The sequence below is a fragment of the Homo sapiens genome, chromosome 17 (genome assembly GCF_000001405.40).
Source record: "Homo sapiens chromosome 17, GRCh38.p14 Primary Assembly".
Taxonomy (NCBI): domain Eukaryota; kingdom Metazoa; phylum Chordata; class Mammalia; order Primates; family Hominidae; genus Homo; species Homo sapiens.
Window position 1 is genome coordinate 48,430,008 of NC_000017.11, and position 12,198 is coordinate 48,442,205.

At 46.3% G+C, this 12,198-nt stretch overlaps 1 protein-coding gene across 8 annotated transcripts in view, besides 1 other annotated feature; it reads right to left on the reverse strand.

Annotated features, from left to right (window-relative positions):
* Nucleotides 1-12,198, reverse strand: part of SKAP1 (src kinase associated phosphoprotein 1) — a 311,620-nt gene that overhangs the window by 296,566 nt on the left and 2,856 nt on the right. For 7 of the 8 annotated variants that reach the window (XM_005257755.5, NM_001075099.2, NM_003726.4 and 4 more), the window contains exon 1: nt 68-207. The exons of the other annotated variant lie outside the window; for it this stretch is intronic. In XM_005257755.5, coding sequence (XP_005257812.1) covers nt 68-113 — 46 coding nt within the window. In that variant the 5' untranslated portion in view covers nt 114-207. Of the gene's footprint in view, nt 1-67; nt 208-12,198 lie in introns of those variants that run through there. 8 annotated transcript variants of the gene reach the window in all.
* Nucleotides 121-380: a silencer, noted in NCBI's record as "silent region_8651". NCBI's record gives its function as "represses an Ori minimal core promoter by ATAC-STARR-seq in GM12878 lymphoblastoid cells {active_cell/tissue: GM12878}" and the evidence as "EXISTENCE:reporter gene assay evidence [ECO:0000049][PMID:35858748]".

A 12,198-nucleotide genomic window follows, 5' to 3' on the forward strand; every position in this document is an offset into this window, starting at 1 on the left:
TGGGAGGCCTGGTGTCCCCTTTCGGCCTTCGGCTCAGCACTGGAGGGGGCCTGCGCCAGGGCGTTACCTTCCAGGAGCCAACGGATCTCCTCAGGGAGGGCGGCGGCCTGCATTTGGCTGGGCGGGAGAGAGGCGGGACGGGGCGCGGGCCCTGGTCGGGAGGCGGACGGGCTGGAAGGCGACCCGGCTGCACCGCGAGGCACCTGTACCTCAGCCGCGGTCGCCGCCCGCCCAGCCCGGCCGCGGGGCGGGGCCGTGGGTCCCCGGGCGCGTCAGGAAGTGGCGCGGGCGGCAGGCGGGGACCGGAACGGGGCGCGGGGCGTGGGTGCACGTGGCGCTCACGCCGGAGCCCCACGGTAGAAGGATTGGGGGTGCCGGAAGCACCGCACCGTGCGAGGCCAAAGGTGCGCCCCTCCAGCACCCACCAAAACAAAAGACTTCACAAGGCTCAAAGGACCCACGGCTTTGGACACTCCATCCTAAGCACCGAACAGTTGACCTCACGGTGGCAGATTTGAAAGACCACGGGGTGCCTGAAGTAGGGTGCAGGGAGGCAGAATCCAAGGAAGAGATCCCCGTCAAGCATAGCACCCCTCAATTGCCGGTCCAGTTCACATCTCCATCCCCAGAAAAGAGGGCAAAACTTCGCTCTTTGGGAAGCCACAATGTTGAAAGGAAATGATTAATTCCCAATAAGCAATATAAGGACACCAACATTTGGGAGAATCGCGGCAGCGTGGCAGCAAGGGACACAGGAAACCAAACTGTGCTGTTCTCCCTCAGGATGGAAAGGCCCTGAGGAAAGGAAGGGGTAACACAGGGAGAAAGCTGAGGGAGAGGAGAACAGAGCCCTTTCCCTCCAGGAGCTGCGGAAGGGAGGAAAGTGAAGGACAAAATCACACGGTCTCATTCAAGGGACAGTTGGTGTCAGTGTCCTGGTTGTGACATGGTACTGTAATAGTGCCAGATGTTACCCTTGGGGGAAACTGGGTAAAGGTAGACAGAGTTCCTCTATTATTTCTGAAACTCTCTGTGAATCTATAATTCTCAAAATAAAGAGGTTTTTTAAGTACAATAGGTCAACTGCCATGAAAAAAGTATAAAGTGCTATGGTTGATAAAAGAAGGGAGCTGAATACCAGAAAAGGAGGGAAGAGGCCAGGCATTGTGGCTCACACCTGTAATCACAGCACTTTGGGAGGCTGAAGCAGGAGGATCACTTGAGCCCAGGAATCTGAGGTTACAGCCAACTATGATCACCCCAGTGTACCCCAGCCTGGGCAACAGAGCAAGACCCTGTCTCTTAAAAAAGAAAGAAAATAAAAAGAAGTGCCAGTGTGCATGTGAGTGTTTAAAGGTGCATGTGGTGTTTGAGATGGGCTCTGAAAAACACACCAGACTTTGAAGGGGCAGAGGACTTTCCAGGTGGAAGGACCAGAGTAAAGAAAGATGGAAGAGCCCTCACCAGCTTGAGGAATAGTTAGTAGCCCTCTTTTACTGGATGTTGTAGAAAGACTATGGTTGTCAAGATAAACTGCAGCTCTACTGTGAAGGGACTTGAAAGTCAGAATAGGAATGTTGAACTTAATTGAGAGGGCACTGGGGAGCCATTGACAATTTTTGAGATTGGGAATGACCTAACCAGAGCTCCGGGGTGGTATGTGGCCTCACACATCTCCACCTCTGCCTTTTTCCTTCTTTGTAAAAAATGGCATTTCTATTCTCAGACTCAACCTACAGAATATGTAGAAAAGATTAGGAGTGGTGGGAAAAGACACAGGGGGAAGTGGGTAAAATGGTTTTTACAACAGCCATAAGGGGAATAATGATGGACTCAATCTAGCAGACGGGGCAAGAGCAGTAAGAAGAAACCATCGAGAAGGATGAGTGTGATAAAAGTGCCTGCCTCCTTGTACTGTTTCCCATCCAGAGATACAGCCTCAAAGATGAGGGTGTGATCCTTTAAGGAGTACAGTGCATCCTGCCATCTGAAAAGCAGTGGTGCATTGGTTTCAGTGTCACATGACCCACCTACAAGCTGCAGTAAATTGGGGTGAGGGGACAGAGGCTGGCATGAGCCTCTCTGGGGTATCTGGCTCCTGCTCATCCTCCTTCCTGCCCTGAGAAAGTATAGTAATGGGTGGCTGGGCACAGTGGCTCACGCCTATAATCCCAGCACTTTGGGAGGCCAAGGCAGGCGGATCACGAGGTCAGGAGTTTGAGGTCAGCCTGACCAATATAGTGAAACCCCGTCTCTACTAATAATACAAAAATTAGCTGGGCATGGTGGTGCACGCCTGTAATCCCAGCTACTCGGGTGGCTGAGGCAGGAGAATCACATGAACCCGGGGGGCGGAGGTTGCAGTGAGCCGAGATCAGGCCATTGCACTCTAGCCTGGGTGACAGGGCAAGACTCCATCTCAAAAAAAAGAAAGAAAGAAAGAAAGAAAGTATAGCAATGGGCAGACTACCCCTTTCAGGCTTGGGATCAAGTACCAGGTACCCCCATGGCATTTTTACCAACTTCACCACTTCACCTATAAAATTGTAGCTGCTCTAGAATCATTTTGAAGTACTTATGAGGCATACTAAAAAGCAAGGAAAGATACATGGGAACTGTCTGTGCTATCATCTCAATTTTTTTTTGGTAAATCTAAACTGTTACACAAAAAATACAGCAAGGGCAGCAAAGTCTCCCCATATGTCAACCTAAACTTTGCCTTGCTTTCCTTCTTGGCAACAGAAGAAAATTTGATAACCTCCCCCTCTTCTTCAAGGATATGGTGTCACATACTAATATAAGCTACCAGCTAATGAATTGTTTGATAAAGAGCAGTAAACCCAGGTAATTGCACTTCTTTGCAGGCTTCACTGCCTGTCATAGCTTACTTACACCAAAAACTCACAGTGTACGTATTCTATATGCATCCTTCCTTACAAGAATCTCTGGGTTTTAGAGAGACAGGGGTAGAGGGAGGTGCACAGTCGGGTAGTATGTAGTGAGTGACTGGCAGATTCCAATACGGTATTGTCATGTTGCATCAAGGTTCCTCATTGCAGACAGAAATCTGCCTCCACACATGAACGCAGCCCTTCCTTAATCATCTGAGGACCCTGTTTCAGCAGTCAGCCCCACTCCTAATGACATTCTGTTAAATGGACAAATTCCTTTGAAGCCTTGTCCTTTTTTGAAATCCAATTTCGCAGGAAGCCAAATCTGATTGGGGGTAGCCATGGAAACCACATGGAGGAGTCTTAGAGGAGGTGAAGAGAGGCAAGGCAAAACGTGATAGTCACGAGTCCTTTACTGTTCTGTCAGAAATATCAAAGCAATCTGGAGAGGTTGGCAGTAGCTGAGTCCCTGCCTGGGTCCTGTTCTGTGTGGCTGGGTACTATGTGGCTGTCATGGAAGAAAGCAGCCAGCTGTCTCTGCACACAGGCAGGAGGACAGAACAGAATACACAAATCTCAGGTCTGTCTGCCTCCCTTTTCTTCCCGTCCCCCCCAGACCCAATTCCAGCAAGATCTTAGCATCCTCTTCTTAGCTGCCTGCCCCTTAAAGACAAACAACAAAAGAATGACAAGGTTAAAATACAAGGCCCTCACAGATAAGAGGTCCTTTGGAGCAGAGGCCATGAAATTAATCTGGAATTCCTTGTAATTAGATAAGATAAGGGGATCTAAAGAGATGTAGAACAGCCAGGAATGGAGTCCAGCAGCACAACATGCAGAAAACACACCGCCTTGTCCACCGGGACCCTTCACGCACTGTCAGCAGACAGAAGACACAGAAAATAGGGCCCATATTGGCCTCTGAGCTTCTTGGGAATGCTGTCTACATGTTCTCATGCCAGGTGGGCACTCGCTAAATAGGCATCTATGGGATGTCCAGAGGGACCAATCAGGAAGAAACAAAAGCATCTGGCACCCAGAATGGCATGCAGTGGGAACACAACTGCAAGCAAAGCAGGAGCTGGCTGGCACCGCTCTGCCCTGGCTGAAATGGGTCTGGAGAGGAAACTGCAGAGGGCAGGCTCTGAGGCTTTATTCTGAGCTGGTTATTGATCCCTGAATGCTGGGTCATGACATGTGGCGGAGCTGACGTCTGCCCTATGGATGTGCAGCCACTGCCTCTCAGCCTCTCGGTCCCAACCCCATCAACCGGGTTTATTGACTCTTTTATTGACAATGCTGGGGCCTAATGAGGCCAAGAGCTGCACACTTCATTAAGAGATGTGGAAGGAGAGATGATGCATCCTGTCGGTGCCAAGAACCAGGCTCACTGTATGTTTTGCAAGGCTCCAGAAACCAAGCATCATGCCACCTTGAAGGCAGAGGAGATGGACATAAGATGCTAACTTGGGCACGTTACTTCAGTGGCCTAAAAATGAAGTTTCCACGGCTTGCCAGAAGCCTTGTTCTTACCAATTAGCTAACTCTTCAACTTAGGAGGGTCCTGTTATACACACACTCACACAAATACACTTCCAATGGTCTCCCCTTCCAGCTCACACTCCTAGATTCTCTGCCTTAATACATACAACAAAATAAGCAGCTTCTCATATCACATCAGGAAACAATTCCATAAGCAGGTTCTCAGTGAGGTACAGGCTTGGAACAGTATGAGGGACTATATAAAAACTCAAAAGAATCTTCAAAGGGAGCAAATTCAAGATAAGGAACAGACCCAGCACTATACCCAGGGTCCCCCAGCTTACCAGGAGCTGTGCATTAGAATCAGGTACAAAGCTCTTGTAGAACTGAAAAATACCTAAGATAGATAGTTACAGCCTAGGGATCACTGAGCCACTCTACGAAGTCATCACTGTTGGCCCTCCTCCATCTAAATAGTAATGTTTCATTCCCAGCACTTTGGGAGGCCGAGGCAGGGGGATCACTTGAGGCAGGGGGATCACTTGAGGCAGGGAGTTGGAGACCAGCCTCGGCAACATAGTGAGACCCCTGTCTCTACAAAAAATTCAAAAATTTCAAAAATTAGCTGGGCATGGTGGCATAAGCCTGTAGTCCCAGCTACTCTTGAGGCTTAGGCAGGAGGATTGTTTGAGCCCAGGAGTTCGAGGTTGCCGTGCCACTGCACTCCAGCCTCGGCAACAAAGCTGAGACCCTGTCTGAAATAAATAAATAAATAGTAACATTTCTTTCTTTCTTCTTTATCTTATCTATCACTCCTCTTATTATTTTTTCTCTATTGTTCCCAATCCTTTTTTTTTTTTAATCTTCTTTACCTATCCTTTAGACCACATTAGATATCCCCGTTGGGCACTGCTGAGCCCAGCAGAGGACCTGAAGACCAAAGAGGTTGCTGACTCTGACATTCTCTGTTTTTGATTGGTTCTCTTGGGGATCTGAAGTGGAGATGGGGGGACTCAGAATGTATCAGCTGTAGCCAGATGAGCTGTGCACTCTGAGTGAGATGTGGAAACAGTCTGTGTAGCTAATCTGCATGAGAGCAGATGAGGCTAAGACTAATTTTATAGACTATAGACTATATATTTTCAGACATAACTTTGGAAACTAGCTGGAAGAAATAGTCTTTTCTTCTGGGGGATTAAGGAGATTGAAGGTAGAAGGACAGCAATTTTCTAAAGTCGACCTGGGTTTCTTTGGTTTCTTTTCATCTGTTATTTCAAAGGTAAAAAAATTTAAGTTCCCAAACCCCTTCCTTACTTTTTATCCTTTCTTCTTCCTCACTTTACTACAGGTCTTAGAATTCAGAGTTGGAGCAGGGGGATTCAAGGTGAGAGAAGGGGCAGTTATTTAGAAGCTGGTAGAAAGCTCTCGCCTGCACTGCACATGTGCTCATGTGCTTTGGAGGATACTGACACTAAGATGAGTGGATATTCTAACAAGAACCACCAGCATTCTCAAATACAGACAGAAACACTAGAGTCAGAGATAAAAACAGCAATAGCTGATTATTTCGATGTAAGAAAGTGAGTAAAAATACCTTTGCCCTAGTGGATATCGTTGGTCCTCAAGATATGTTCTTTCCTTGCCTTCAGAATTGTGTCAGTGTCCATTTCATTTTTTTTCTTTCTAAATGTCTATTCTTTTTTTTTTTGAGATGGAGTTTCACTCTTGTTGCCCAGGCTGGAGTGCAACGGTGGGATCTTGGCTCACTGCAACCTCCACCTCCTGGGTTCAAGTGATTCTCCTGCCTCAACTTCTCTAGTAGCTGGGATTATAGGCACATGCCACCATGCCAGGCTAATTTTTGTATTTTTAGTACAGACAGGGTTTCACCACGTTGGCCAGGCTGGTCTCAAACTCCTTACCTCAGGTGATCTGTCCACCTCGGCCTCCCAAAGTGCTGGGATTACAGGCGTGAGCCACCGTGTCTGGCCAACAACTGTACCCGGCCTCTATTCTTAAATATCCCTGGACTCCCATTCCCACAACATTTTCTTCCTGTGTAAACCACACTATCTTTCATACACAAAATGGCACTGTCAGTTCATGTTGCATTGCTTTTCAGTTTCACTCTTGTCTTGCCTCCTCTCATCCCTCCACTAGAATTTGTGATCACACTCTCTTACACCACCTTTGAGATCTTCAGTCTCACATTCTTTTTCATCTTCAATATTTCCTTCTGCCTGCTAACATCCTTGGTCTTCTCTATCCTTAAAAACCAAGATCTTCCTTTCACCCCTCTACCTCCTCCAACTCTCATCCTTTCCTCTCCTTCCCTGCCCCCATCAACTTCCTCCATCAAATCTCATGTCCTTTCTCCTCCGTCTCTTAACCTTGCCTGCCTGTCTTCACACCACCAAAGGGATATCTCTCCCAAGAGCATCACTGACCTCCTTCTCCACTCTCCTTTGTCTTCACCAGCCTTCCTTTTGGATCATTGGATGGTCTTGACCACCTGCTCTTGCTGTAAGCACATAGCTTGCTTGGCATTGCCCTATCTGATCCTCTTTCTGTCCATCTTAACTGTCTGTGACTTCCCTGCCTCCTTCTTTGGTTCTCTTCATTTCACCTTCTAGTCATAGGTATTCGCCAGAGTTTCTACTTGCCTTTCTCCCATCCCTCTTCTTTCATTTCTCTCTTTGTTCTCTGAGTCTCTAGTGGTTTTATTCTCACACTACTACTACTTTCCCCTTTGTACAGATTGCTTTGCTGATTTGTACCTCTGCCCCACATTCCCACCTGGATATCTGAGCAGTTCCACCAAATTGTTATTTCCTCTCTCCTTAATTATTGCAATAGCAACAAAGCTCAGTGGACAGGGCATGGGCTTACAAATCAGAAAGACCTGGGTCCCGTTTCTGGCTCTGCCACCTACCTGTTCTAAGACTCTGGGCAAAGCTCCATGAGCCTCAGATTCCTCATCGGTAAATTGGAGATCATAATCCCTACATTACAGGGTTATTATGAAGGTTAAGTAGGATGATGTATGTATATAGTATATGCTCCATAAATTGCAACAGTTAGGCCGGGTGTGGTGACTCACGCCTGTAATCCCAACACTTTGGGAGGCCAAGGCAGGTGGATTGTTTGAGGCCAGGAGTTTGAGACCAGCCTGGCCAACACAGCGAAATCCCATCTCTACAAAAATAAAAAAATTAGCCGGAAATGGTGGCACACGCTTTTAGTCCCAGCTACTCAGGAGGCTGAGTCACAAGAATCACTAGAACCCAGGAGGCAGAAGTTGCAGTGAGCTGAGATCGTGTCACTGCACTCCAGCCTGGGAGACAGAGCAAGACTCTGTCTCAAAAAAAAAAAAAAAAAAAAAATAGGTAATGTTATAAAGGCATTGCTGTTTTCCTGGTAATTCAAGCTCAAAATATAGAAGTCATCTTCGACCCTTCCTCACTCATTCTAAACAGCCACTAAGGCCACTAGTCTTACCTCCTCGCAGTGGCTTTTGAATCCTTACCCTCCTTGCGTCCTTAATGTCACCTCTTTGGGTTTGGTTCTCAATATCTTTGTTGGGAAGTGATATGTTGAAATGGCTTCTAACCCGGCCTCCCACATCCAATTTCCCCACCATCCCATGCCACCCCTCATATAAGCTTCAGAGTATATATCCCAAAGCATGGCTCTGACCCCATCAAAGAGGTGATAGAGTATAGAATGTAGTGGTCCTAAAGTCAGACAACCCTGTGCTCAAATCTGCCACCGCTTGCTGTGACCTTGGACAAGTTACTTATCTTCCATATGCCTCAATTTCCTCCGCTGTAAAATGGCAATAGTAACTGTATTCTCAAGGTTGTTGTGAAGATCCAAAGAGCTAATATATGTAGTGCTTACACCTGCCTGCAGCATGGTAGGTGCTTTGTAAAGTTTAGTGATTACTGTCCCTGCATTCCCTGCAAAAACTAGCACCTGTCAGATGCTCAATAAATATATATACAAATTATCCATAATCTCTCATTTGATCTTTCTTACTCATTAAAGATATATTTGAGGAGTGGCCAAGATATAGGTATCATTGGTTGCCAAGGATGAGAGTTTTCCTCTTTATCAAGCTAATCTGCCTTTAAAGAGATGAATAGAGTGTGGCCTTGGCTTCCTTGGCACCAGGCTCTAACAAATCAAGGTTATCAGATTCTCCCCACCCACCTCCAGAGATTTCCTCCCTGCCCTATCTATTCTAGAATACTTCTAGTGTTCTCCAAACCACATGGGGGAAACACTGATCTGGAAGGCGTGAGATATTAACACCTCTTTTCACTTATTGCAGCAAAAACAAAGTTTTCACTATAAATAAAGACCCTGCAAAGAACCAATCAGAAAGAAGATCATATCCTAGGAGTCTGTAGTCCCTTTAGTCTGGAGAGCTGCCAGCAGGGCTAAGCTCTACAGAAGGGCTGGGGTTGTGGCAGACGGACACGACTTGGGGAGTGTGTGGGAGGGTTGATGGCCTAGAGATGAGGCTAGTGAGAAAGAAAAAGGGAAAAGAGAGTGAATGAGAAGTTGAATGAAAAGATAAATAAGTGGAGAAATAGAAAACATCATAAAGAAGTCTTCATAGTTTGAAGGATTAGAAACTAAATCAAACAGATCCACTTCATTTCCTGAATTGTAATTTCAGGCTATACCATGTTCTACCTCCAAGGACAATTGAGTAGCTTCAGGGAATGGCTGTAAATTCCTAAAGAAAAGTGCCTTGTGGATCAAGCTGTTCCTATCTGCTGCTGTACTTTTTAGCATCTGCACTTTCAACACAATGACACTTCTTATTGAGTAATATGTGATATTTTGCATCATGAGACTATTGATGCAGAATTTCCTTTTTCAGAGCTCAATATTCCAATCAAAGCCTGTTGCATCACATCACTGAGGCCATCCACTTAATGACAAATTGTAAGATGCATATTGCAGAATATTCATGTTCATTTTATGCTCACAGTGCTTGAAATCTCCTCTAAACAGCCTCTGCTCTCAGCCTATTAAGGTGCCCGTGTTATCTACACTTCATTCAATGGTGTGGAAATAATTGTCTTGAGACGAAAGAAAAAATTGATGGTCACAAGCCAAGTCAGCACTTGTGTTCTTTTCTTACTCTGTTGAATCTGGTGTTATTTACCTCTTCCAACACCTGGGACTCCTGATAAGTCACTCCCATGATAGCTTTTTCCAGGACAGTGCTATGGGGTCTTTAGAATAAGTAGGGATCCTTCATAAGCTATATTGTTATCAGCACAATTCATGCAGCTACCAGATGTGCAAAATAGAAACCACCAAGGGCATTCAGGCAAAGGGGGCTTCCCCAGCTCCATATGGCCACTATGACATGTGCTCATGAGTTGGAGGAGGAATCAGAGAAAAAATGAGATGCACTAAACATGAGGGCCTGTGTTCTTGCGAGAAAATGCTTATATTCTGACAATGTTGGGGCCCTTTTTTACTGCCCTTCATCTGCTATCCCAGCACCTGCACCCTATAGCCTGACTCCCTACAAACCTGGCTCTACTAAAAAGACCTTCCTGTTAGAGACAGGTGGGCCCTTTTCTTCATCTCTTCCCCTTCCTCTTATCTCTGGGACGAAGCACCAGGACGCGGGCTGGTGGAGGAGAGCAATTGCCCCTGGCAGCTGATAGTTCAGCAATGCGGCCTGCGACTTTGCCTTTAAATATCAACCACATGCACAGAAAACACCCTGGCAGCCTGAGAGGTTTCCATGGTGACAGAATGCAGGCCATGACCTCTGTAAATGTAATCAGAGCACTGGGATTGGTGTGCAAGACAGGTTTAATTTCTCCTGCAATGGAAGCTCTGTGGTCCTGGCCCTACATAGGCTTCATACGTTGACAGACAACCTGTTTATCTCCACCAGGGCAGCTCTACATATGGCAGTTCCCTCTGCCCCAGAGCTGCTTCCTCTACTGTCTGAGCAGGCTGCAGGATGTAGAAGGTCACTGAGGACTGGGACAACAGTCATATCAATATCTGGCATCCTTGCGCAGTGTCCTTGGGAGGTGAGACTGTCCCTTATACAAAGAGCAGCTGTGGCGTAAGGGTCTGACCAAGGACTCAGAAGATTGGCCAAGGTTTTCATCCCTGCTGTGCCACCAACCTTGTGACCTAGGGCAAGTCATTTAACCTCCAACTTTCAACATCTTCACTCCAAGGAGAAAATGCCTGGGAAAGGGAAGGCCAAGGGCTTCCAAAGTCCGCAATTTAAGATGGTACCCAATAATGGTTAATGTGAGGATCCTCCCACCCTCAGTGGACTCATACCCCAAGAAATGAATGCTAGTCACTGGTGTCAGTGCTGCCAGTGGTGAGGGGAAGGCTCACTGTGGGAGAGGCTCAGCAGGACTTCCCCACCTCTATCCTGAATTGGAACAAAACCAGGATGCATTTTTTCTAAGCCAGCCCAGAGTAGTAGACTAGAGTTTTGCACTAAACTGACAGGAAACAGACAGAGGCTCAGAGGGAAATGTAGCTGCATCAAAGGAGGACCCCACAGCCTCTTTCCTTAAACTCCATGCAACCTCAGCAAAGAGTTTCTTTGGTCACTTGGATGCTAGCACCCCGATTCCATTTCTAATTCACATGAGATGCTGGCCGACTTCAGTTGCCAGTTATCCTGCTTCTCTGATTCTTTCACTTTTCCAGTATAGTGTTCTAAAAAACAAAAACAAAAACCAAACAAACAAACAAAAAAAGATTTGGACTAAGATGAGATTCATAGGGTTGCATGAAACATTTTTCTTCCCAGAGGGAGCTGGTCCATAAGATTCCCCTTGCAGAATGAGATTCAACAAGGAATCTCAGAATTTCAGAGCTGGAAGGAACTTTAGAAACCCTTTTACCTACAGAGAGAAACCTGAGGGACTAGCCTGGATGTCCCTGGGTTACAGCAAATTAATGGCAGAACCACAAGAGCATCAGGGCCTCACTCTGCTTGGCTGAGTATTAATTTACCTCATGGGTGCTTTTGAACCTCAAACTAAAATAGAGGGGAAGTGGGGGGAGGATTCAAAAGTGGTTGATGAACATTAGAATCAGGAAATGGTGATTTGGTTGAATCTACAGATAATAGCTTTACCACTTCCTGTGTCAGCTGATGCCAAAAGAGAGAAGATTCTAAAGAAGAAAATAGTTACGTGACAGAACTGTGGGCTTCCACACAACTGTCTCCACCCAGGCCATACTCTTTCTCTAAGGCCATTGAGGAGAGTATAAACCTGATTGCTCAGGGGTTTCATTGGCTGGTGTCCAACACAAAATCACAAGATCAAAGAACAGTGGAGTTTATAGGAACCCCAAGAGAACATCTGGTCTGACATTATGTCTTCTGGTTGCTGAGTAACTAAACCATCTAGGACAGGTAATTTAATTGTCTTTCCTTTTTATTAAAGGACTCAGTTTCCCAACTATAAATGAGGAAATAAGGTTCCTTCTAGGTCTAACATGCCAGAACTCCATGATCTCGAAAGGTGGAGATTTCCCAACCTTTTCCAGGATCCCTTTACAGCATTTAACGCATATCTTGTAAGTAGCAGGCTTCCCTGGCCTCAAGCTTAACATCATCAGTGTGGCAAGCACCAAGGGTTTGTCCAGCTCCCAGGGATTACCATGGACTCCAGGAACATGCACTGAAGTTCCTTTTAGTGTTTTAAGGAGGAGGAGGAGGCAACCATTTATGTAATTCTCATGTCGGTCCAAGTTGTTAATACTCCAGTAGTTGGTAGGCCCAACCTGAGTGCGTTGTGGCCATGGGGTG